This window comes from Homo sapiens, chromosome 17 (genome assembly GCF_000001405.40).
Source record: "Homo sapiens chromosome 17, GRCh38.p14 Primary Assembly".
NCBI lineage: Eukaryota > Metazoa > Chordata > Mammalia > Primates > Hominidae > Homo > Homo sapiens.
In genome coordinates, this window is record NC_000017.11 from 68,125,497 (window position 1) to 68,153,156 (window position 27,660).

General features: G+C 44.2%; 1 long non-coding RNA gene and 2 pseudogenes across 1 annotated transcript in view; 1 reads left to right on the forward strand and 2 right to left on the reverse strand.

The window, feature by feature from the left end:
• The window catches only part of LINC00674 (long intergenic non-protein coding RNA 674), a 34,375-nt gene extending 23,942 nt beyond the window's left edge, over nucleotides 1-10,433 (forward strand). Inside the window, exon 6 of the long non-coding RNA NR_027418.1 lies at nucleotides 89-10,433. This is a non-coding gene — a long non-coding RNA (long intergenic non-protein coding RNA 674). The remainder of the gene's footprint in view (nucleotides 1-88) is intronic.
• LRRC37A16P (leucine rich repeat containing 37 member A16, pseudogene) lies at nucleotides 979-26,975 on the reverse strand (annotated as a pseudogene).
• SH3GL1P3 (SH3 domain containing GRB2 like 1, endophilin A2 pseudogene 3) lies at nucleotides 7,720-10,269 on the reverse strand (annotated as a pseudogene).

Consider the following 27,660-nt stretch of genomic DNA (forward strand, 5'->3'; position numbering starts at 1 on the left):
GTTGACATAGTTTTGGGTGGGAGAAATTTTGCTATTATATCAACTTCTTAAAATGGTCTAGTGGGATTAACTTTGTTTCAATTCACAGAGATCTCTTGGAAGCGAGGATCCTTTAAAAATCCTGGAATATACACTGCAGTAAAAGAACAAAGCATACCTCAGCCTTAAACGACTGAAGAAGAATGTCAAGTGGGGAAGTGGCTTTGGTTTTCAGTTTGTGGGTTCTGAATCCACACAAAGACAGGATTGCTTTCTGAAAACCTGAATTAATTATTGTCCTTACCTCAATAAGACAAAAAATTAGAATCAAAATCGTTAGTATTACAGTCACAGATATCACCAAGATTAGTTTGTTGTTATAGCCATATCCTGGAACTTCTTTCGTGAGCTAAAAAAAAAAAAAAAGAAAAAAGGAAAGAACAATTAAAAAAAGAGTGAAAGCTAACTTTTCAAAACCCCAGTATTCTAGTTGAGTAGCTTACAGGTTCTTTTTTTTTTTTTTTTGAGACAGGGTCTCACTCTGTCACCCAGGCTGGAGTACAGTGGTGTGATCACAGTTCACTGCAGACTCGACCTCCCTGGGCTCAGGTGATCCTCCCACCTCAGCCTCTAGAGTAGCTGGAATTATAGGCACAAGTCACCACACCCAACTAATTTTTGTATTTTTTGTGAAGATAGGGTTTCACTATATTGGTCAAGCTGGTCTCAAACTCCTCTGACTTCAAGTGATCTACCCACCTCGGCCTCCCAAAGTGCTGGGTTTACAGGCGTGAGCTACCATGCCCAGCCTACAGTTCATCCTGTGCACTAATCTGTTTCACTCTCTAAATGAACAAAGTGGGAGATCACTGTCATGGCCAAAGTTACATGGCCAAGACAAACTATGGCCTGGGAGTCCCAGGTTCTCCTGTGTGGGCACTTTCCTGGCATATGCTAAATGATGGGAAAGTCTGGGTCTCATGTTTCTGTGTGGTCCTCACCTCACTCGACTTCTGCTCTTTCTGTTCACTCTGGGCTTCTGTGCTTTCATTAATATAGTTCTTAGTTTTCCACTGGTCTGTATCCCATTCTGCCTTGGACGCCTTTACTTCCTGCTGCTCACTGAGAAGCCTCATCAGGAGGCCTGTCCTGGAGATGAGCTTGGCACAGGTCACTTGCACATAGGTCTCGGAGCAGTCCGTCTTCAAGGTCCAGATAACATGAGAAATGAAGCTTCTCACATCGTTGTTGGGGATGACGGACTGTAGTTGATGGGTTAGCGGAATTTCAAACTGATCACCTGGGGATGAGAGCAATGGGTAACTGAAGCTTTTGGGCTCGGGGGACAGGTCAGTGCCCACGTTGTTGTATTCCCATTTTGTCTCAGTTTGTTTAACAGTTGGCTCTAAGTTGAATGCAGTCCTAGTGGGAATCTGCCTCAGGAAGATGATTGTAGTTTGTGTTTTCAGAGATGGTGCCTTCTGGCATAGTAGTGTTTTCCATAAAAACGTTTTCTTCAGAGGCATTTCTTGCAGTTGTGTTTTTTACAGTAGTGTTTTCTATAAAACATTCTGAAGGAGCAAATACTTCTGGAAAAGGGTTTTCTTGAGGACTCAGGTCTCCTGAGGATGAAAAAGCCCCTTGTGAAGGGGAATTTATGAGGCTCTTCACTGCAGAGAACGGCGGCCTCTTTGCGAGCATCAGTCTATTGAGATAACTTTTCTTTCTCAATTTTCTAATCTTTTTGGCCTTGGGTGTTCTGTGGGCCACACGGGAGTGAGTTTTATGAAAGTGGTATTTTTTTCTGGAATGTACTACTCGTTTAGCAGCCTTCATATTTTTTAACTCTAGCCTTTGCATTTTCTAAAATTAAAATGGTGTAGGCTAAGTCTTTCAATCTGTCTATGACCTGAGGTAGGGCTTTTGCAGTTGTGGAAGGCAGAAGGCATGCCCATGGAGAAGGGTTTCAGCAAAGAGGAGACTGTTGGCTTCTGCTCTTGGGTGAATGAAGGCTTGGTGTAGACGGCGTTTCCCGCTACGTTCTCGGGCCCCTGCACTATGTGAGGCTATTCCAGCTCCCTTGGGGCTGGACTCCCGAGCCTTTTTTCTTTGGCAGCATTCTCCCCAAATGCCTGGGCACCCTGTTCCCTCCTGATACTCTGCTTTCCCACCGCTTTGAAGGGCCTTTTCTGGATGCTCCTTGGGCCCATGAGGACTCTGTTCACTCTCTGCAGGTTTTTGCCTACACTTTGAACCTTTGCCAGGCTGTTTTCCTGTGGTTGGACAGTTTCTAATTTCTTTTCAAATATTTGGCATTTAAATTTGTTACCTAGAAGGCTGGACTGCATAAGCATGGCAGTTTTTTCTTCCCTTTTAACTTCATCGATTTTTTTCTTGTATTTCTGCATCTAACATCTTTTCTAGCAAATACACCTTTCTCAATTTATTTTCATAAGTTGAATTGTTGGATGCAGGTTGAAACAAGGGGCTCTTTGTATTGTTTTTCAAAACAGGAGCTTATCTCCATCTTGCACATTTGAAAAAAGCAGTTTAATGAATGGTAACAACATTGATTCCGCATCTAGATTTCCTGCTGAGAAATAAGGCAAGATGTAATTTAGCGCAGTGATAACATCACTCTTATCATAAGTGTCTAGCTGCTCACTCCCAAAGACTGACAAGTTGATGCCACTGCTGTCTGAGGCTGCCTCCGGCTCAGTAGTCAGCTCAATGCTCATGTGCTTCTTCTGGGCTTGTAACACCTTCATGAACACTCTTTCTGGATTCCCTACAGATGCTTCTTCACCTGTCAAAAAAAAGAGACTGCTTTGATCATGAAAGATAATGGAACGGCATGCATCAGTCCACAGCTGTATGCCCCAGTCACACAAAGTAGGAGTCAGCAAACATTAGAGTGCCATTCAGAGAGGAGAAACACACACCCAAGCCTAAATCTATGAAATGGCAACAACAAAAGGAGGAAAAGACATCTTTTGAAAATATGGCTACTTACTTGGAACATTCCTAGTGTGACATAGAGTAACTCTGCTTAGGATTATTTCGTTGATCCCCAGGGGCCAATTGCCCAGTGCTCAGTCAAAGCCCAAGGTGGAAGACAAGTGCTTCCCTGATGAGCTGTCCTCTCTGCAGACTGCTCCGTACCCTGTGCTGTCCTGCCTCAGATGCAGAGAGAGCACAAGCCTCCCTCCTCATCCTCAGTGTGCCTGTGTTCTTACTACCATCACAGCTGAATGCAATGAAAGGCTATCCTCTGAGAGGAGCAGGGTGGAGATGCTAAAGTGGAGGCCCCCTCCCATTGCTGATAGATCCTCATCTGGCATGCACTCCACCCACCCACCCCATTCTCTGCTACCACATATCGTAGCCCCATTAAAGAAGAAGTGACATGGAAAAAACACTGTGCCCACCCTAGTCCTTTTCTTAAATTTGGGCAGAGATCCAGGGTATAGGTTAAGAGATTTTTAATTTGCCAGATGGTATGCCTATGTTGTTAAATATACAATGAATCTATGGTATGATAGCAGTTTCTGGATAAACATTACTTGAGGTCCTAAAATGCAGAAGGGAAAAAGCAGCTTTTGTCAGATGCTTACTTTGCTTTCATTTCATCTCTAATATTTTGGATGGGGAACCATCCAAAGCTTCTGGCCGCATGAAGGTCAAGTGTGCCAGTGTGCAGCTGGGTTTCTTTTCCAGAATTAAAAGTATTTTGGGTGGTGCTGAGGGTCAGAGGAAGAAGTAAAAATTGTGAGAAAGGAGAAACATGGGCTTGGGGAGAACCCAGAATTGGGGACAGAAGACCTGGCACTAAGCTATAGCACTTAGCACCTCTGATCTTGTTTTTCCTCGTCCGTAAAAGGAGATTAACAATGCTTTTCTGCCCACCTCTTGGGGAGAAGGGAATAATTTAGTTGGTAAAAAAAAAACTTTTGAATAATAAGCAACTCTGTCTTTATATAAGTAGCCAAGCATTATTAATTATCCACCCCATATCACTGGTAGATACCTGTATTCAAGCTATGTGGACATAAAAGCAGTCACATTTTAGAAGTCATGAAGTTGGTGCTAATAAACCTAATCTACAGAAAAACTCTTGAAAGCACTTGAGCATTTGTTCTGTGAATAGAAAGGTTTGAGATTCAGAGCAAGTTCAGAGTTGGATGGTCTAAGAATGGAAAAGCCCTCCATTCCATTAGAAGAGCCAGGGAGCAATTTCTGGTTATGGAACCAGAAGCTCTCAGGCTTCAAATAAAACAGCATCACTTGTACTCTTATAAAATTGTAAAAACAAAAACAAAACTGGATCTACATTTGTCCTAAAAGGCAGAGAGTACTTGAGACCTCATGCATATAAAACCAGCTTACAAACTACATCGCACTATATGAAGAAATTATCACTGGGGGCAAATCACCAAGTAGGGAGCACAATACACAGGGTGTGGATGTTAATGTCATTCCCTAGCCTTCTCATTCCCTTCTCTTGGTCCTTTATGCATATGGAACAGTTCCATTATTAAATTTTGTAATAATAACTGAGAACCTGACTCCCAGCAAGGGAGTAGTTCAGAAGTTGAGGGAGTTTAAATCTGAATGAGTAAATAAAGCAATTATATCATTAGCTTAAAATTTTATCATCAATTAAAAATAAATTTAAAAACAAATACTTAAAATAATGTAACAATTTATCACCAGGCAATTTGGACTCACGACAATGTGTGGTGTTTGTCAGACATGCACTGTTGCAATGCAGCTTGACTGTCTTGCAGACAGCCTCAATGCTATTTTTAAATTGGCAGAGGCAGCAGGCCATATGGCTAGGTAAGATCCTATAAGATGAAAACACAAAACAATAAATAGTGGTAAAGCAGTTACTTGAGTAGGCAAAGGAGGCAGGCCAACGCTACCACAGGGCTGGGCAGAAAGGTGTTACTGAGGCCTGTGGACTGGACAGTTGGGTAGGAACCAGAAGGGCAATGGGAAGGAGGACAAAGGTGCCCAACTGAAGGGTAAGCATGGCAGTGAGTATGGTATGCCTAGAATAAAAGTGGTTGGGATTAGAATTGGGTGACACTGATCAGTAGTTTAATTCAGAAGTATCTCTTCCCAACTCAAAAGTCTCACTTTGGGCTGAAAGTACACAGGAAGAAAGTAGACTTCTAAGAAGAGTCTGAATAAGCCCCCAACTTCTGGAGTCCCTTTCTCAATTTCTGTTGGCAGTGGGAAATATTAGAAATTACTCTGGGCATTAAAAATAGCTCAGTTTAACCTGGATTGTGGGGTTAAAAAAATAACAGATTGCATTGGCCAAATCTCGACAATTTGAGCATTCAAAAGAGTAACAATAAGCTACAACATAATTAATATATAAAAAAGAATCCATGAAGAATGATATTTAAAAAGAGAGGGAGTTGTTCTTTAATGAAATAATGCCAGCTAATGAATGTAGAAGGAATGACAGAATTTTAAAAAGTGTTACTTTGCAACCACCAATGTAATAAAAATTGATTCAGACAAGGATTGTCATTGATGGACACAGCTGGGTGAGAAGACATTTGAGAACAGGATCTTTACTGATCTCAAAGTACCACCACACAGATATTTTATTAATTACCAAAGGGAAAAATTATTTTTTATTTTTTTATGAGACAAAGTCTCACTCTGTCACCCAGGCTGAAATACAGTGGCAAAATCGTAGCTCACAACAGCCTCGACCCCCACCCTGGGCTCAAGTGAGTCTCCAAATTCAGCCCCCCAAGTATATGGGACTATAGTCTTGTACCACCACACCCAGCTAATTTTTTTTTTTTTTTTTTTTTTTTTTTGTATTTTTAGTAGAGACAGGGTTTCACCTTGTTGCTCAGGCTGGTCTAAAACTCCTGGACTCAAGCGATCTGCCCGTCTCGGCCTTCCAAAGTGCTGGGATTATAAGCATGAGCCACCACACCCAGCAAAATAACTACAATGGAGAGATCTGGAAGATCACCTTAAACAAGTGATCAAACTTAGCATTATGAGCCACCTGCAATCACGAGGCAGGAAGGATATATCACCTATGCAGTATTTTTCCCAAAAATGCTTACCTTGAATCTCATCATGTGGAAACAGACAAATCCAGATTATGGGACAATTTACAAAACAACTATCTTTGACTCTTAAAAAATGCCATGTCATGAAAGATCAAAAAAAGTAGAGGAATGTTTTAGATTAAAGGAAATGAAGACATGACATGCAGTGCCTAATCTTTGATTGGATTCTGTGCTATTCTTTCATCTTTCTGGTATGTTTGAATTTTTTTTGAAATATAAACTTGGGCAAAAGAGATAACCAAGATAATTGATTAATTTATTGTTATGGCTCATTGGGGGCAGTTTCAGAGAAATAAAAACAATCTTTGTAACTGGAGTAAATTCTCAAGGTTAATCTTAAGCAATATAGCATGGTCATTAAGAATACAGATTCCACAGCCAGACTAGGCTTAAATCCCAGCTCTGTGAATAATGTGAATTTGGGCACATTGATTAATCTCTGTTCCTTGGCCTTGTCATTATAATAGTACCTACCTCTAATGAGTTTTGAGGATTAGATGAATCAGTACCTGAAAAATGCCTGACACACAGTGAGTGCTCAATAAATGTTAACTACTGTAATTATTACATTACAGAGGTTGTGGGGGGGCCTTTTCTGAGTCCTCCAAAAGGATGACTTTATTAGGGCCACATTAAGACTGTGGAAACAGAAGAGTATTCAACAGATAAATGAAGTCTATGAGTTGGGGGTACAATTTATGGAGTTTTAGATTAAAACTGCATCCAATAAGTTGGTCTGACACATCTTTCAAACCTATAGAGGAATAATCACAAGTGACTAGTATTCCTTTGGGTCCAATAGAGGTCTCTGATCTTCATACAGATTGAATGTACCCAGAACCGTAACCTAGCATTTTACTTATATAGCAACCTTAACTCTGACACAAAAGTGTTTCTTTTGTTTTGAGGCCAAGTCTCACTCTGTTACACAGGCTGAGTGCAGTGGTGCAATCTCACTTCACTGCAGCCTCTGCCTCCTGGGCTCAAATGATCCTCCCACCTCAGCCTCCTGAGTAGCTAGAACTACAGGTGAGTGCCACCATGCCTGGCTCATTTTTGTATTTTTTGTAGAGATGGGGTTTCACCATGTTGCCCAGGCTGGTCTCAAACTCCTGAGCTCAAGCAACCCTCTCTCCTTGGCCTCCCAAAGTGCTGGGATTACAGGCATGAGCCTGAAGTTTAATTGTTATTCTTTTCCTGCCCCCGACTTTTGATTTTAAACATTTTCTTTTTTTCCTTTAAGCCTTAGGATGGCTAGGAAGCATTTTCAGATGGTATAATGAACACCTGTATAACTTTCATCTGGAATCAACAGTTGCTAATACTTTGCCACATTTGCTTTCCATGTGTGTATGTCTATACATTTTCTGGACAAACCATTTGAGAGTCAGTTGCAGACAAAATGACCCTTTGCCATTAAAGACTTCAGTGTGCAGCCCCTAAGAAGCAAGGCATTCTCCTGCATAACCAGAGGACTATCATCACCCAATGGAACTTCATATTATCATTGTCTACTATGCAGCCCATATACACATTTTCACAATTGTCCCAATCATAACATGGCTTAAAAAATTCAGAATCCAATCCAACATCAGACATTGCATTTAGCGTTCATGATTTTTTTTTTTTTTTTTGTAGAAAGACCTTTAATACTTCTGTTTACAAAATTCAGGCATACATTTCAGTTTGCCCTGAACCGTGCCCAAGGCTGTGTGCTCATCTCTGCCAGGATGTCTGTGCCCTCATGTACTGCTGACGTGGAGGGTGCAGAGCAGAGCCTGGGGTCTGGAGGCTTCGCTGGGCCTCAGGGGGAGGGGAATGTGAATGTGGCCCGGCCCAGAGGACCCTCCATTTCATCAGTTTTGGATTGGGCAACAGAGGAAGCAGATGTCTGGGCTGCAGACCTGCTGGTCTGGGCAGGGGTTTGGGAACCCCGGGGTTGCCTGCCATGGTCTAGAGGAGATGGCTGCGGCTACTTCCCACAGGGTGGGGTGGCCACTAGGGGCTTGAAGATTTGCTCACTGGAGCCTTTGTGCTTGGCCCTCAGCAGCACAGCTGGGGCTGTGGTCCCGTGCAAGGTGTGCTGAGGGTTGTGTAGGTGGCTGGTGGTGGCAGCTTGTGCCAGAGTGACACAGGCTTCTGTGGGCCTGGCTGGGGGCAGTTAAAAAGCCGAAAAGGTACTTGGCTTTGTGAGGGCAAGGCTTGGGAGGCGGGGCCCTGCAGGACGTCATGTTCTCTGTCCTGGTTAGGAGGGGGGAGGTGTTGGGGGGGGGAAGGTGGGGCAGATCCCAACTGGCCCCTGTCCCTGGGCTGCAAGCTGACAGCAGGCCAGGGAAGCAGTGAGGCCTTCTGCCCTGGCCTTGGGGAGAAGGAGTGCATGTGTGAGGCTGGGATACAGTGGCCCTGGAGTGGGGCTAGGGCTCATCGCCAGCACCAGGCGCGGGGAGGATTTAAAACCAGAGTCCTGTCTCTGAGCCACCCCACAGGGACGCTTGATCCAAGCCTGTTAAGGCCGTGGAACTCGAGGGTAGGCAGTGGGCTGGGCCACCGTGGGTTCAGGATGGAGGTGTGGGGGCTGCCCTGGAGGAACGTTAGTGTTTCTGAGAGCACCTTAGTGTTGCTCTGCCTCAGCCAGCTGGGCAAGGAGTTGGGGAGCGGGGAGGAGGCCGGCGCCATGGAGTGGGGAAGGGAGCCGTCACTGTTGGGGATCAGCCGCTAGTGTAAACGAGCATCTCCACCCACCCAGATAAGCCCCCCACCCAAGTGTGGAGCCCTGCTCAGGGAGTACCTCAAGGGCCCCGGCCTGGGTGGCGCCAGCAGGCTTGGACACTGCCCTGGCAGCAGGGGCCCCGTGGAAGGCAGGATACCCAGCAGGGGGTGCCACCCAGTGTGGATGGAGGGGCAGGGCGGGGGCGCCCCTGAGTCACTGGGCAGAGGCACGAGCACGTCCACATAGCTGAGCAGGAAGAAGCCCGACTGGCCGTCCAGCATGCCCTCGTATCAGTTCTCGTTCATCTGGTTGATCAGCATGAAGACATCGCCCTCATGGAAGCCCAGCTCCCTATCTTTCTCCGGCTCCAAGTCATACAGCCCTTGCAGCTCGGCTGGTCTAGGGGCGGCATGCTCCTGCTAGGAGTCCAGATGGACTTGTCGTAAGATCGGAAAGAGGACGAAGCTGCGATCTTGGGGACTGTGGTGCAGGGGAAGCCCCGGTTGGACTGCTCAGGCTTTCCGAGGTCAAAGCACTCCCGGGGCTTGGGCTTATACTCCCGCCTGGGTCGTGAGGAAGCTTCCCGGATCCTGCACTTGAACTTCTGGGCCAGCTGGTCCAGGATCTGCACGGCCTGCCGGTGGTAGTCCAGCTGCGCCTCTGCCAAGGCCGGGAGTTGACTCACCTACTGGATGTCGGTCTCCAGGAGGTTGTGCATGCTGGTTTCTGCCACCTCCTTGGACTCCTCAAACTTCTCCAGCGCCTGGTGCAGCTCCTCTTCGGGGATCTTGCCCTGCCGCTTCTTTTAGTCAAAGTCCAGGCGGCGGCCCTCCAGCTTCTGCAGGTGGTGCTGGATCTCCTTCAGGTCTTTCTCACATAGGTTCTGGAGGGGGTCAATGAAGTTATGCTTGACCTCTATGTCCAGGGAGTCCTTCACCTCTGCCAGGTGCTTCATGGGCTCGCCGGCATCCAGCAGTGCATCGCTGAAGTTGGACTCGTCGCGCAGCTCCTTCCCATGGCGGATCAGGCACTCGCCCAGGAGCCCCCCTGACTGCAGGTAGCCGGGGTTCTTCACCTGGCCCCGGATCTTGCACGCGGTGTTGAGCATGGTCAGTTTAGCCTGCGAGGCTGGGTTGGGCTGCGGGTACTCGATGGTCCTGGACAGTACTTACGTCACCGCCTTGCTGATGACATCCACCTTCTCCATCTCTTCGAAGTCATCATCCAGCTTGGTCCCCTCAGCCCCTCCGACCTTCTCACTGACCAGTTGGCTCGCCTTGTAGAACTGCTTCTTCAGCCCGGCAACCGACATGCTGCCTCCTGCCGCGGAACCTTCCGCCCAGACCCCCCTGCCCAGACCCCGCCAGCGACAGGCTCCCGGGCACCACCAACCCTCTGCGCGCCTCAGCGGCCCCCATCAGCACCGCCTCCACCACCCGCTTGCCAGCTCGGCGCCCGCCCCGGCGCCGCCTCGAGTTCATGATTCTTTAGTCTCCTTCAATCTAGATCTGTTCCCAGGATTGTTTAAAAGCATACTGACAAACCTTTGAGACTGTAAATGACCTGAGGTATACATTATCTTTACTTGAGAATAGTAATTTTTCAATATGCATTAAAGATCATTACACATGAGCTAAGACAAATGAGCTGGTCTACTTACTTTGTATATAAATGTGTAAACTCCTGAAGACTTCCAATAATGAACTCCAATAAGGCAATTAGTTCAATGTCTTTATGGCCTTGGCGACAAATGGTTACAGACAATGAGAGCATTTTTCCTATACACTAATGGTCAAGAAAAAAGCAGACAGATCCTCACTATCTTAGAGAACTAAGTGAGAAAGCTGGTCAGTGAAGAGGACTTCATCCAGAGAGGAAGGGATCTAGCTGACAGAAAGATGCTGCAGGAGGCTGAGGAAAGTGAGCCTAGAGCAGTAAAACAGATCTAACAACGTGGTGAAGGTAAGAAAGTGACCTGACAAAAATGAATGGAGCAGAGTACTAAATGAAGGGCTAATCTTGTATAATGCCCTCAACCAGCCTTAGCATAACTGAGTTTCTATTTAGCTTGCATATTGTGGGGGGATGGGGGTGGTGGTGGCACAATTTAAGTTGCAGTAAGTTGTGTAACAAACTCCCAATAGGGCCCTGGAGAAATACATATATATATATATATATATTTTTTTTTTAGACAGGGTCTTGCTCTGTCACCCAGGCTGGAGTGCAGTGGTGCCATCTTGGCTCACTGCAACCTCTACCTCTTGGATTCAAGCAATCCTCCTGCCTCATTCTCCCAGAGTGCTGGGACTACAGGCATGTGCCACCACACTTGGCGAAGATATAGATATATATATATATATAGATACATATATATCTATAGCTACATCTACAAAGAAGCAGGCATGGTGCCTCATGCCTGTAATCCCAGCACTCTGGGAGAATGAGGCAGGGGGATCACTTGAAGCCAGGAGTTTGAAACCAGCCTGGGCAACACAGTGAGACCTCGTTTCTCCAAAAAATAAAATTGAAAAAAAAAAAAACTCACACCATATAAATTAACTCAAAATGGATCATAGACCTAAATGATGTAACTATACAATTTCTGGGAGAAGACATAGAGAGTAAATCTTTTCTACTTTGGATTAAACAACAGGTTCTTAAAGATTTCTTTAGGTAAGAAACAAAAAAGCACAAGCCATATAAGAAAAAATTGCTAACTTAAAGCTGATCAAAATTAAAAACGTCTGCTCTTCAGAAAACATTTATTTATTTATTTATTGAGACAGAGTCTCACTGTGTCACCCAGGCTGGAGTGCAGTGGTGCAGTCACATCTCAGTGCAACCTCCACCTCCCAGGTTCAAGCACTTCTTGTGCCTCAGCCTCTGGAGTAGCTGGGATTACAGGCGTGGGCCACCACACCTGGCTAACTTGTGTATTTTTAGTAGAGATGGGGGTTTTGCCACGTTGGCCAGGCTGATCTCGAACTCCTTACTTCAAGTGATCCACCTGCCTTGGCCTCCCAAAGTGCTGGGATTAGAGGTGTGAGTCACTGTGTCCAGCCAGAAAACACTTTTAACAGAATGAAAAGACAAACCACAACCAGAGAGAAGATATTTACCAAACACATATCTATAAGGCCTTGTTTTTTGTTTTTATTTATTTACGTATTTAATTTTTGAGATAGCATCTCACTCTGTGACCCAGGCTGGACTGCAGTGGTGATCATAGCTCACTGCAGCCTCGACCTCCCAGGCTCAAGCAATCCTCCCACCTCAGTTTCCCAAGTAGCTGGGACCACAGGTGAGCACCACCACACCTGGCTAATTTTTATATTTTTGGTAGAGACAAGGTTTTACCATATTGCCCAGGTGGTCTAAAACTCCTGGCCTCAAGCAGTCCTCCTGCCTCAGCCTCCCAATGTGCTGGGATTATAGGCATGAGCTACTGTACCTAGTCCCTGAAAAGACTTGTATCTAGAATCTATAAAGCAGTCTTTTTTTTTTTTTTTTTTTTTTAGACGGAGTCTCACTCTGTCGCCCAGGCTGGAGTGCAGTGGCGTGATCTCTGCTCACTGCAAGCTCCGCCCCCTCGGTTCACGCCATTCTCCTACCTCAGCCTCCCGAGTAGCTGGGACTATAGGTGCCCGCCACTATGCCCGGCTAATTTTTTTTTTTTTTTTTTTTTATTTACTGGAGACGTGGTTTCACCATGTCAGCCAGGATGGTCTTGATCTCCTGACCTCGTGATCCACCCGCCTTGGCCTCCCAAAGTGCTAGGATTACAGGCATGAGCCACCACGCCTGGCCTAAAGCACTCTTAAAACTCAATAATGACGAATGTCTCACGGGATTACAGGGAAAAAAACCTCAATAAAAATATTAATATCCAATTAAAATATGCGAATAGATTTGAACAATTTAGTAAAGATATTTGCACATGAATATTGTATATCACTAGCTATTAAAGAAATGCAAATTAAAACCAGAATGAGATTCCACTACACATCTAGCAGTAGAAAGGTGAATATTTCTTTAAAAACTCAAATATAAGAATCTGCTGGGCTGGGCCAGGCATGGTGGCTCACGCCTGTAATCCCAGCACTTTGGGAGGCTAAGGCGGGTGGATCAAGTGAGGCCAGGAGTTCGAGACCAGCCTAGCCAACAAGATGAAACCCCATCTCTACTAAAAATACAAAAATTAGCTGGGCGTGGTGGTGCGCAGCTATAATCCCAGTTACTCAGGAGGCTGAGGGAGGAGAATCGCTTGAACCTGGTAGGCAGAGGTTGCTGTCAGCTGAGATCTTGCTGCTGCACTCCAGCAATGACTCTGTCTCAGAAAAAAAAAAAAAAAAGAAAAATCTGCTGGGCCAGGCATGGTGGCTCACGCCTATAATTCCAGCACTTTGGGAGGCTAGGCAGGTGGATCAAATGAAGTCAGGAGTTCAAGACCAGCCTGGCGAACATGGTGAAAGCCCGTCTCTACTAAAAATACAAAAATTAGCTGGGTGTGGTGGCAGGTGCCTATAGCTATTTGGGAGGCTGAGGCAGGAGAACTGTTTGAACTCAGGAGGTAGAGGTTGCAGTGAGCCAAGATGGCACCACTGCACTCCAGCCTGGGGACAGAGCAAGACTGTGTCGCCAAAAAAAAAAAAAAAAAAAAAAAAAAAAAATGCTGAGGATGTGGAATAACTGTGACTCTCATACAATGCTGGTGGAAATGTAAAATGGCACAGCCACTTTAGGAAACAGTTTAGCAGTTTCTTAAAAAGTTAAATATACACTAAGCATGTGAACCATCCAACTCCTGGTATTTACCCAAAGAAATGAAAACATAGGTTCACACAAAGACCTGTATATGAGTGTTTTTAGAAGTTTTATTCAAAATTGCCAAAAACTGGAAGCTACCCAAATGTCCATACATTGATGAATGGATAAACACATTGATACGTCCACACAACTGAAATACTACTGAGCAATAAAAAGGAGTGAACAGTTGTCCTTCGGTGTCTGCAGGGGATTGGCTCCAGGACCCCCTGCGGATACCAAAGTCCACAGATGCTGAAGTCTTTTATATGAAATGACATAATACTTGATATAATAAATGACATAAGCCTCGGGTATACTTTAAATACCTAATACAGTGTAAATGGTATGTAAATAATTATACCATAAATTTTCTATTGTTTTTATTGTTGTATTATTATTTTACATATTTTTATTTTTTCCCAAATATTCTCCATCCATTGTTAGTTGAATCCATGGATGAGGAACCTGCAGATATGGAGGTGCAACAACATGGATGGTAGCATAATCTCAAAAAAATTATGCTAAGTGAGGCTGGGTAAGGTGGCTCACACCTGTAATCCTAACACTTTGGGAGGCCGAGGTGGGCGGATCACTTGAGGTCAGGAGTTCGAAACCAGTCTGGCCAACATGGTGAAACTTCGTCTCCACTAAAAGTACAAAAATTTGCTGGGCGTGGTGGCACACGCCTGTAATCCCAGCTACTTGGGAGGCTGAGGCAGGAGAATTGCTTGAACCTGGGAGGTGGAGGTTGCAGTGAGCTGAGGTCACGCCGCTGCACTGCAGCCTGGGTGACAGTGAGACTCCATCTTATAAAAAAAAAAAAAAAAAAAAAAAAAGCAGTACTAAGTGAAAGAAGCCAAACACAAGAGGCTACATGCTACATGATTTCATTTATAAGACATTCTGAAAAACGCAAAACTATAGGAACAGAAATCAGATTAGTAGCTAACAGGGGCTGATGGTGGGAGGAGGGGATTGCCTACAAAGGGACACGAGGGGCCTTTTTGAGGTGACAGAAATGCTTTATATTGGGAATGTGGTGGTGGTTATGTAACTATACATTTGTCAAAACTCATCAAAGTAGCGCCGGGCGTGGTGGCTCATGCCTGTAATCCCAGCACTTTGGGAGGCTGAGGCGGGCAGATCACGAGGTCAGGAGATCGAGACCATCCTGGCTAACACGGTGAAACCCCGTCTCCACTAAAAATACAAAAAATTAGCCGGGTGTGGTGGTGGACACCTGTAGACCCAGCTACTCGGGAGGCTGAGGCAAGAGAATGGCGTGAACCCAGGAGGCGGAGCTTGCAGTGAGCCAAGATTGCGCCACTGCACTCCAGCCTGGGTGACAGAGTGAGACGCCATCTCAAAAAAACCCAAACAAAAACACTAATCAAACTATACACTTATAAAGGGTGAATGTTATGTGAAAATTATATCTCAATAAACCTGACTTAAGAAAATAATAAAACAAACCTAAAAAACCAACTAAGTAAAAATAAATCTAAGAAAAAAATAACTTACAGTTTTTCCAATTCAACAGTCATCCTGAGAATGTTCTTAATTGTTGTAAGTGGGACTTGTGTTGTTCCCATGTATCTGAAGAAGAAAGCCGAAACATTCATGATATGAAGCCCAATACCAAAATTCTGTCCTTAAAAAGATATTTCAAGGACATGTGACTACTTCAATTTTGGCTTCTCTATAAAACAAGCCAGTTCAACAGTTTATTTGCTGTAAAATTCCAGAGAGCTCTTATTAAAGAAATTTAAGTTGATCTGCATCATCAAATTTAATGATACTTAAGAGTAGAACTTACACTTATTTTTTACCATTATCTTCTCATTTCATATTGCATTCACCCATTTTGATTATTTACTCTTTTCTTCCTTTTTAGAATAATGAACACCTATTCCTCTTTGCTTTCTTGGTTAAGTAGTATTCCTCCATATGTCTACATGTTCCAAATCTATACAGGTTTTTCAACACGGTTCTCTTCCTCTGCTGCTGCTGGCTGTCTTGACCATTACACATCTTTTCTTAATCCTTTTCTTTGCCAATAACTTTTTTCAATAACTCAGTTAAAATTTATGACTTTTTAGCCTAAATGCAAAATACTTAATCTTTGATGACAAATTTAAAAGAGCATAAGTCATCTCATGACTCATGAGAGTACTATAGTACTTACAGATATATTAATGCCGGCAGTTCCAAGAGCTACGGATCTTCAACAGCTGTCAGAGGATTGTGATTGAGAATTCTGATAAAAATGCAATGAAATTAAAATTACCTGCATTTTCAATGTGTGAAACTGCATCAAAAGCTTATATTCATTTTTTGTTATGGAACTTTTAGGTTAAAAAAATCATTTTCTGTTTTTACCTAATAAATCACCATTAGAATCTGTAAAGCACTATTCCTTTGGGAACTACCTAGGTCTCTAGAAGATAGAGGAGAGAAAGAGGGGAAGAAATAGAAAAAAAAAAAACAAGCGGATAGCAAAGAAAAAATATGCTGCAGAACTTTTCAGGTCAAAAACCCTAGAAGTGACTATGTTGGTAGGAAGCCCTGACTCTGCAGGAAACACTATATCTAGTGTCCTCCATAATTCAAGTTGCTCGGGTTTTTTTTGTTTTTGTTTTTTGAGATGGAGTCTTGCTCTGTCGCCCAGGCTGGAGAGCAATGGCTCTATCTCGGCTCACTGCAACCTCCACCTCCTGGGTTCAAGCGATTCTCCTGCCTCAGCCTCCTGAGTAGCTGGGATTACAGGTGCCTGCCACCACGCCCAGCTAATTTTTGTATTTTTAGTACAGACGGGGTTTTGTCATGTTGGACAGGCTGGTCTCAAACTCCTAACCTCAGGTGATCCATCCCCCTTGGCCTACCAAAGTGTTAAGATTACAGGCGTGAGCCACTGCACCTGACTGCTTGCCTTTTATCTTCATAAAGTTTTTAAATTTTATGGTTTAATTTGCACAGTTAAGGAAAAAAAAAATAGGACCAATTCTTTTGCTTTATAGCCAAAGTAAAAGGGATAAATCTAAGAGGAGGAACTGGTCAAAACCATACTCCTATCACATACTCTCACTTGTCTTCTTGTATGACATCACAGCCTTTGTTACATTGCATATAATCATCTGTCTACTTGTCAGTCTCCTGGGCTATCAGCTCCTTGAGGGCAGAGACCACATCTTATCGTCATTGTCATCCCTGTGACTGGCATCATGTCTGAAATTTACTAGGGATTTAATAAATGTTTATTGAATAAACAAATGACATTTTGTTTATATGTCAATAAATGAATAAATTCATTTTGATGTGAATTTTTATTCCAAAATGCTGGAATCTATTTTCTTTTTAATTCTTTAAAGTGAATGAGAAAAAGAAAAGAAACAGGAAGAAATAAAAGAAAACCACCCTTTAGGTTAACCCAAGAATCACTGTACTTTTGCAGAAATTATAAAAATAATAATTATTACAGTGAGTTTCTATTGGGCTGCTAGGTATTTGTGATCAGCATTTCACATTTAATCCTCACAATAACCTTATGTGGTAGATATTATTGCCCTATTTTATAAATGAGGAAACTGAGGCACAGAGAGGTAACATAACTTGTCCTAGGTCACCAAGCTATTAAGAAACAAAGCTGTAATCTGAACTCATGTGCTTAATCTGTATGAAGAAAAAGGGTTTACTTTAACCTTATGGTTTTTTAAATTTTTCTTTTCTTTCTCTTTCTTTCATTTCCCTTCCTCCCTCTTTCTTTCCCTTCCCTTCCTTCCCTCCCTCCTTGTCCTCCCTCCCTCCCTCCCTTCCTCCCTTCCTTCTTTTAAGTTAAAGTTTCCGTTTATTGGCTGGGCCTGGTGGCTAAGGCCTATAATCCCAGCACTTTGGGAAGCTCAGGTGGGTGGATCATCTGAGGTCAGGAGTTCCAGACCAGCCTGAGGTCAGGCTGAGCCAGACCCCATCTCCGTCGGAATCTTGCTCTGTCACCCAGGCTTGAGTGCAATGGCATGACCTTGGCTCACTGCAACCTCTGCCTCCTGGGTTCAAGTGATTCTCCTGCCTCAGCCTCCTGAGTAGCTAGGATTACATGTGCCCGCCACCACGCCCAGCTAATTTTTGTATTTTTAGTAGAGACGGGGTTTCACCATGTTAGTCAGGCTGGTCTTGAACTCCTGACTTCATGTGATCCGCTCACCTCAGCCTTCAGAAGTGCTGGAATTACAGGCATGAGCCACTGCTCCTGGCTGCCAGATTCTTTTGAGGGACTCCCGGTGTATAAAGTGTTTAGTAAAGGTGGTGAATTTAAGACATTTGTATTGATGCTACCTAAACCTCTTGATGGAGGGACCTAATGAGCCTGTTCTCTGGTGTGAGAGCAAATGAAAAACAGACCCTCAGTGCCCCTTCCCTAAGTTAAGCATCAGCAAATTAATGAGGACAGAGAGGAGCATCTGCAGAAACTGCTGCTCTAGTCCAGACACATCCTGAACGCCTCCCTCTACCTCAAAATGAACTGTGTGAAACTAGATTTCTGAACCACAAGAGAAGTGGAAAGTCTTTTCTAAAGTCAGATGTGGAGGAGAATCTTCACCTTGAGTCTAAACTCCCCTTCAGGCGATTGAATATACCCACTCTGATTTGCTGGGTATGTTATACAGAGAAATCATAGAATTCTTGCACTTATGGTAGAAGAGTAGTCAGGAATGTATATGGAATTAAAATAGAGCGATGTATTTTCTTCACAAAATTTTTTCTTTTTTTTGGCACAATTGCTTAATATAAACACTATCTTGGCCAGGCATGGTGGCTCACACCTGTAACTCCAGCACTTTGGGAGGCTGAGATGGGTGGATCACCTGAGGTCACAGGAGTTCGAGACCAGCCTGGAGGGAAGGTTGGAGTGCAGTGGCACAATCTTGGCTCACTGCAACTTCCACCTCCCGGGTTCAAGCCATTCTTGTGCCTCAGCCTTTCAATAGCTGGGATCACAGGCACCTGCCACCACGACCTGCTAATTTTTGTATCTTTAGTAGAGACGGGATTTCACCATGTTGGCCAGGCTGGTCTCAAACTCCTGACCTCAAGTGATCCTCCCATCTTGGCCTCCCAAGGTGCTGGGATTACAGGCGTGAGCCACCACGCCTGGCCCTACACTTTGGATTTAACTTTGATTCCTGCTCATATGCAGAGTTTATAACTGCTTAAATGTCTGCAACATTTAGCTGCAAGGAAGAAAGCTTAACACAAAGTCCCCCAGGGAGCAAAAAACTGCACCGCCACAACCAGCTAATTTTTTTGCATTTTTAGTAGGGACAGGGTTTCACTATGTTGGCCAGGCTGGTGTTGAACTCCTGACCTCAGGTGATCCACCCGCCTCGGCTCCCAAAGTTCTGTGATTACAGGCCTGAGCCACCCCACCCAGGAATAAGACTAATTTGGGGGTCACTTGTTTGATGCCTTTTCTTGCCCATGCCATAGGTCAGAACTAGGACAAGCAGAGCAGGTCATATATAAGCTATGTAAGTCTCTTGGCCTCTTTGTACCTTAGTTTCCCCATTTGAAAAAAACAAATGGATCTTAAGACATACTTTTCAGAGTTCATAATGGGCTTATACCCAGCTAACCAATAATTGTATGAGTTTTTATACATAAATAGATGTTTACACTTATTCATCTTCTATTTCACTTACAACTTGTGTAAAAACTGCATTCTGTGCCAGGCCTGAGATGTTCCAAAGCTCAGTTCTGTTAGTAAATTGCAACCAAGATTTCTACAAAAAAAAAAAAAACATAAGCCAAAGGAAAAAAAAATTATTTCAGAGCATTTATCATTTGCTGTGAGTCTAATTTATATAGGATGGAACGTAACGTCAATCCTTTCTCTAAGCACTAAAGAAATCTCCCTGTGGAAGATACTGGCTTATGATTTATAATTTAACATTGCATATGTGGTGCATTAGATACAAAACAGTGAATGCTCAGTAAATATCTGTGCTAAGTGATCTTTATTTCTCTAGAACAGGATTTCACAACTTCAGTGCCATCAACATTTTGGACTCTATAATTCTTTGCCATGGAGGTTTGTCTTATACCTTGGAGGATGTTTAGCAGCATCTCTGGCCTCTGCCCACCAGATGCCAGGAGCACACCCACAGTTTTATCAACCAGAACTGTCTCTGGACATTACCAAATGTCACCTGAGTACAAAATCACATCAGTTGAGAACCACTGCTCTCTGATGATTCACTATGATCTGTGTAATAATTCTCACACTAATCCTTGCTAGAGACAAAAACAGTTTGCTATATAATTTTAGTTCCTTTCTACTGGTCAAATTTTAATCATTTCAAAATGAATAGCAAAGAGGTTTATAATTAAGTTTTATAAAAATTCCAAATGCAATAAAGTTATATTTGTAACTTACATAAACTGCAAAAATGGTAGGGGTTCAAATGTATGTCTTTCAATAGACTGTATTTTATTGCAGGATAAATCTCTAGGAAAAGGAAAATATTGCCTTGATAAGTTATTAGATGTCGATTAGTATGAATAATAGAGTTTAGAATAATATTGAATACACATTTTTCAACTCTAAACGTTTGGACTTGTATTTGAACTTTCCAGAGCCCTAACCCTGCCCATACCTCTCCTAGAGTCTTACCTTCATAGTTTTAATAAATAAAATATACAACTTAATAGACTTTGGAATTAATTTTTCCTGAGAGCAGTAGACTTGATTAGATGCCCTTTTGTAGTCTCATCAAATCCTAGATTATGAGCTCAAAGTTTTGATCTCTATATATAGTTTCTAATATTAAAACAAATAGCCTCACATTTATACACCTTCCTAGTTCAGGTCTGTTTTCCTAAGCCAGTTCAGGATCAGAAGAAATAAAAGACATCCTTTCACAGCATTTGAAAGGAAGTTGCCCCTTTACCTAATACATAACTTTGAACTAATTCAAATCATATTAATATAATTAATTTATATCATATTAATATAAATTCATTTTTGGTTTTATATTGCTTTAATATTTCATGAAAGCGATTTCTTCAGTTATACAGTGATGGGGCTTGTTGTCCCTCCCTCTTTACCTGGATGGTGTTACGTTGTCTGGCTGGTGTCTCCATCTCTAGTCTCTCCCTTCCTAAACTATCCTGCACACAGTCATCATATAAACTCTCCAGAAGTGTCTTCTTTGGGGGCAATTAAAATTTTATATCTACATAGTCTACATAGTCTTCACCCCAATAATTCCATTTCTAGATATCTATTCCACAGGAATACTTGCCCATATTCACAAAGAAGCATGTACGGGGATTTCATTGCAGCAACGCATGTAACAAGAAAACTAAGCCTAATCTAACAATTCATCAATGGGGGAATTATTAAATAAACTACAGTGCATCCATACCGTGGATTATGCAGGAGTTTAAATGAATGGGGTGACCCTCTAAGTACTGGGAAGGAAATAAATCATGAAGTGAAAGAATATCATGTCATACAATAAGTGATACTGTATATGATATCATATAGGTGATACACTTGTCAAATTAGATATATAACCATGAAGTAAAAGAATCAAGTTGCAAGAAGTTACCATTTAGGTAAAGAAAAAAGATTTTAAAAACCACACAACAAATCTATTTTGCCTTATGTAAATATGTATGTAGGCAAATGGGAAAAAGTCTGGAAGCATGTATACTAAATGCAGAGCAGCATTACCTCAGGGATGAGGGAGTAGGACACAAGGAGGGTTTTTGTTATACCTGTTTTTGCATTTTTATACATTAAAAATAGAATCATGGCCTGGGGGTGGTGGCTCATGCCTGTAATATGAGCACTTCAGGAGGCCAAGGTGGGAGGATCACTTGAGCTCAGGAGTTCAGGACCAGCCTAAATGGCATAGGAAGACCCTGTCTCTACAAAAAATACAAAATGAGGTGGGCGTGGTGGCATGCACCTGTGGTCCCAGCTACTTGGGAGGCTGAGGTGGGAGGATCACTTGTGCCTGGGAGGTGAAGGCTGCAGTGAGCTGTGATTGTGCCACTGCACTCCAGCCTGGGGGACAAAGTAAGACCCTGTCTCTTAAAAAACAAAAGAGAGAAAAAAGAGAATATAACCACGTATTATTTCTGTGATAAAAAATAAATTTAAATTGCCTCTTATTTTAAAGAGAGCCTACCAAATTTAATTTTAAAATAACCATAGGATCGCAATCAACAGAGGTTGATTTGGGATATGGAGGAGAAATATCTTTTCTCAGAGGTACCGACCTCAAAATTCTGGACCAAGAAGGATCTTACAATGCAGTTAGTTTTTTGTCACATTTGGAGAGAATATACTCACAGTTTCTTGGTCCAACTGTATGCTTTCCATACATTTCCATCAATGTAGGAAATATAGTTTCCTTGGTAACTTCTGTGAAGAAACACAGTTTATATCCTTGAATAGGTAGGAAAAGAATGAACAGGATAAGTAAAAGAATCATGGCAACCTTGTCGGGGATATTCAGAAACAGAAAATAACACCTGCTTTCTCACTTCCAGAGCTATTAGCTTCCCAGTTTGCACAGTTCATCAAGAAGTAATGCCGGGCCACTGGCACAAATGATGAGGCATCTCCTGGAAGCTTAACTTCCTATCCATCCCATCTCTTGGACAGACGATGCCAGTTAATTACTTTGAATGTAAGGCCTTTATCCAAAAGCACTTATGTGTCTAAACTAACTCCTTCTACACATAAAAAATGGTAAATACTTCAACAGAAAAATGGGCAAAAGCTTATCATTATCAATAAATAAGTAGAAAGAAACCCTATGCCAGGTGACACCAAAGCTTTGCCCTCTGTTGAAACATCCTAGGCTTTTTCTTTCCATTCTTATTACAACTGATCTGATTTAGCCCCTTCACACCTTACTCCTACATTTTGCTATTCCTTTCTATTTTGTCTCCCTGAAATAAGATTTTCCCTTTGAGCACTCTACATATGGATTCTAAAATAATCCTTTGCATGTTTACACTTGAACATAAAGCAAAAACAAAACAAAATGAAAGAATCCTTTTGTTTTAATCATTTAATCTCTCTTGCTTGGAAACTTTCAATGGCTTTCCATACCCCATTTTGTAGCTTTCAAACTCCTATAGCTGATAGTCAAGATTTTACATAATCATATCTTCATTGCTCCCTCACCTAATTCTTTGCAGCCAGATTGGTCTACTAAATTCCAACCATACCTGTAGCCATGCCTTTGCCTAGACTGTACTCCCATTTTTTTTTCTATTTAACAAATTATAACTACTCTTTAAGACCCCAGTAAAGTTTTAGCTTATCCATGTAGCTTTCCCTGGTCTCCACACCTCAGGGATCACAGATTCTGGTAAATTATAGCACCAATGGTCTGCATTATCTTTTAGTAATTAATTATATATACCTCCCTTTTTATGCCTATTCTCTTTCTTCCCTCCTATCATTTTCGTGTTCTGGAGACAGTAGCATACTTGGCCCTAGGTGTGACACAAAATGAGTGCTACATATAGAAAGCCAGGGACAAAGATGAGTTCTGGACATAACTAAAGGACTGAGTAATCATGTTAACAGTCAACACATCCTACATATGCTAGGCACTGATGAAGTGTTTCATATATTCACTCACCTAAATTTCACAACAATCCTATGAAATGGTAACTAGCATAATCCTCAGTTTAAAGGTGAGGAAATTGAGTCACAGAGCAGAATAACTTGCTCTGGGTCACCAAGCTAATAAATGACAGACCTGGGTTCAAACCCAGGCAGCCTGGCGCCAGAATAAACTCTTAACCACTTACAGCATCATCACTGACATGCGGAGAGGGACAGGCTGCTGTAAAGGGAGTGAAGGGAAAATGGGAGGAGAGCAGCGGTTAAGCAATGATGTGATGGGGCTAAATAAAAATGAATAAGACATGAGTAAAAGACTGGAGTAAAAGGAAAAGACTGGAGAAAGGGCCTAACAGTAAAGGAAAATGAAGAGAAGGGAGAGTTGACAAGCAAAGGTGAAAGCAGAAAGTCAGTTGTCAATATGGCTTAGGGAGATAAAGAAGGCCCAGGAAGGCCTCCAGGAAAAGGCTGCCATGTCAGGCAGGACACAGAGGACAGTTGAGGAAATGTGATTCTTACAAGATGGGGAAGGTGCCATTGTGGGTGTTGGGCTGTGGCACAGGCACTTGGCGGAACCTCTGCTTTGGACTGAGATCAATACAAGGCAGCGTCTCATATCTGCAGGTACAGAGCTTACATATGTTGGTGCTTGTGGAGGCCTTCTGTTCCTCTGGTGCAGTTAAAGCCTTATTTTGGGGTAACTTTCAGACTGCACCAATGAATCCTGAGCAGGTTCTAGTTCAGTAGGTGGACCTGTGACTTCAGTCAGGCTTCGATGCAGAGTCTGAACCTGGTCTGGATGAGGAGCTGTAGTCTTCTCCAGGGCGGTAGATGTCCAGTCTCTGTAGTGGGTTCTGGAGTGATGGAAGCCCCAGGTCTGGAGGCTGAGTTGATGTCTCCTCCATGGTTGAAGATGGTTTAACCCCTGTAGTAAGTTGTGTAGTTATGGTAAGCTCCAGGTCCAGAGGTTGGACTGTGACTTGAGTCAGGTTTGAATGCTGAACCTGACCCTTGTCTGAAGGTGGAAGTGTCACCTCAGAGTGTTTTGGAGGAGGAGTTGTAGTCAGGGCTGTAGAAGGTTCAAACTCTGTCGTGGATTCTGGAGTGATGGTAAGTCCCAGGTCCAAAGGTTGAACTGTGGCTTGAGTCAGGTGTGAATGCTGAGCCTGAACCTGGTCTGGATGTGGAAGTGTCACCTTAGGGTGCTTTGGCAGAACTATAGTCTTCTTCAGGGGTGTAGAATGTTCAACCTCCATAGTGGGTTCTGGAGTGATGGTAAGTCCCAGGTCCACAGGTTGAACTATGACACTGGGTGATATTTGATGCTGAGCTTGATCCTGACCTGGTGTTGGAATTGTTACCTCTTGATATACTGGAAGTTGGGGTACAACTTTCTTAGGAGGCTGAGTTGGGGTCTCCTGCGTGGTTGGAGAAAGTTCAACCTCCGTAGTGGATTCTGGAGTGATGGTAAGCCCCAGGTCCACAGGTTGAACTGTGGCTTGAGTCAGGTGTAAATGCTGAATCTGAACCTGGTCTGGATGTGGAAGTGTCACCTTAGGGTGCTTTGGAGGAACTATAGCCTTCTTCAGGGCTGTAGAATGTTCAACCTCCTTAGTGGGTTCTGGAGTAATGGTAAGTCCCAGGTCCAAAGGTTGAACTGTGACACTGGGCAATGTCCAATGCTGAGCTTGATCCTGACCTGGTGTTGGAACTGTCACCTCATAATGAGCTGGAGGTTGAGCTGCAACCTCCTTAGGTGGCTCTGGAAGCTGAGCTGGGACCATCTGCTGGCTTGAAGATTCTACCTCCTTAGGGGGCTCTGGAGCCTGAACTGTGGCCTCCTGCTGGGTCGGAGAAGGTTCTGCCTCCATAGAGGGCTCTGGAATCTGAGCTGGAACCTCTTGCTGAGTTAGAGATGGTTCCACCTACTGAGGGAACTCTGGAGGCAAAGATGGGGCCATCTGCTGGGTCAGAGAGGGTTCTATCACCCTAGGGGGCTCTGAAGACTGAGCAGGGACTGCCTGCTGGACTGGAGAGGATTCTACCTCTTTAGGTGGCTCTAAAAGCTGAGTTGGGGCCTGCTGTAGGACTGGAGATGGTTTGACCTTCTCAGGTGGCTCTGATGGCTGAGCTGGTATCTCCCCTGTGGTGGAGGACTGACCTCTTCAGTGGACTTCAGAGGATGACTTGAGGCTTCCTGCTGGGTTGCAGATGGTTCAGCCTCCTTAGGGGGCTCTGGTGGCTCAGCTGGGAACTCTTGCTGGACTGGAGAAGGTTCTGCCTCCCTAGGGGGATCTGGAGTCTGAGCTGTGGCCTCTTGCTGGACTGGAGATTCAGTCTTTTCCGGAGAACACAGAGGTGGGGAAGGGAGATCAGGCTGGGCTAGAGAAAAGTCAGCCTGCTCAGTGGGAATAGGAGGGTTGTCCTGCTGGGCTGGAGAAGATTCAACCTCCCCAGAAGACTCAGAAGGCTGAGCTGGCTGCTTCTGCTCACTGGGGGAAAGTTCAGGCTCTATAGGAGGACCTGGAGGCTCAGTTGGAGCCTCATCTTGGATTGCAGAAGGTTCCATCTCTTCTAGAGGCTGAGCTGGGCTCTCCTGCTGGGTCTGAGAAGATTCAACCTCCCTAGAAGACTCAGAAGGCTGAGCTGGCTGCTTCTGCTCACTGGGGGAAAGTTAAGCCTCCATAGGAGGAATGGGAGGCACAGTTGGGGCCTCCTGTTGGGTTGCAGAAGGTTCCACCTCCTCTGGAGGCTGAATTGGGGTCTCCTGCTAGGCTTGGGAAGATTCTGTCTCATTGGTAGGCTCTGAAGTTATGGTAACATCCACATCTGCAGGTTTAAATTGTAATGTTGGGCAAGTTATAATGAGCTTGATCCTCACCCGGAGGTTGAACTGTCACCTCATGATTTGGTGGAGTTTGAGCTAGACTCTCCATAGAGGACTCTGGAGGCAGCCCTAGAGGCTCATCAGAGTTCACCGGAGTTCTGGAGGCAGGCTGCTGGGATACAGTATATCCACACTTGAATATTCATCCAGCAAAGTTTGTTTCTGACACCGAGGTTTGGATAATTGCTCAGCAAGGCTCCAGTGCTGAGCTAGATCTCTCTTCAGCTTCTTGGGCGAAACAATAAATTTGGTTGGTTTTTGAAACCTTACTGTCTAGTGGAACAAGTATTTCATCTGCCTGATGATCTGCAGCCTGATCTAGGTCTGCAGTTTGAACCTTACTTTTGAGGTGAGGAAGCTGAACTAGGGTCTAGTTCTGATCCCAGTCCAGCATTGGAACCACCTCTGGTGCCTTTTCTTCGGAGTCAGCTTGTCATTTAGATCCTGGTGTGCAGCCGAGAACTGCTCTGGACCCCGGGGGGCAGCTCTCCAGCTGAATCCGTGTCCAGGAACAGAACCAAATTTTCAGTCGATTCCTGGGGCGGGGCTGACATCTGGGAGGAAGCAGACGACGCGACGCCACGTAATCAAAGCCCTCCAGGTCAGCAGAGGGAGTAGACGCATGGGGAGATTCCCATGGGAGATGGGAGGAGCAGGAAGACTAGGGCTCAGTAGGCCCCGGGGGTTAGAGGTCAGCTGGAGCGGGTCTTTGACCCACTCCAGAGGCTGAGCCTCCTGGACTAGTAGCCACAATAGTTGCCACGTGAGGAAGGGCCTTGGGCCCCAGAGACACAGCTGGGACATGACACACGCTGGCGCTGTGCAGTGAGTGGGAGCCATTCTAACAGCCTGGAGAGGCTCGCACCCGCGATAAGCGTGCGCCCCGCCCAGTCTTTATGACATCTTTATGCCACCTTTATTAGGCTTGGGTCCAGATCTGCTCCATGTCTCCATGGCAATCTTATGTCACAATCCCGCCCAAGCTCCCCTTTCCCCCCTCCCCTCTCCTCCCCTTAGCGAGGTAGGATTTGGGCCGCAGACCCGGGTGGTCCCAGGACTCCTGGGGCCTGTTGTGGTGGGGTGGGGTGGGGGCACGGCAGAGCTTCCCAAGGAAGTCACGGGACCCCGCCTCAGGATATTCAGAAGCTCTAGTCCAGTTCTGGCAGCCTGAACTCTTCCTCCTCCAAGGTGAAATCCAAGAATACACTTCCTTCCAAGGACAGCAACTGACCTGCAAAATGGGCGCCAGTTAGGGTGGCAGGGAGGACGCACATTACAGTCATTTATTCCAAAATTTGCCATTTTCGCCAAACTTTCGGTATCTTTTGTTGCATGTTTGATAATTCACCACCCTATTAGGTAGGGGCTGTCAGGGAGTAAGCCCGGATTCCAAATTTTCTGTAGGAGGGGCATTGGGGGTAGGCAATTCAGTCTGGGAGAGTGAAGAATCCTTTGCACTAGCCTGGGAGGAGGCTGAACTGTCATCCTGCCTTGACTTAACACAGCCATTACCCTAGAAGTTACAGCA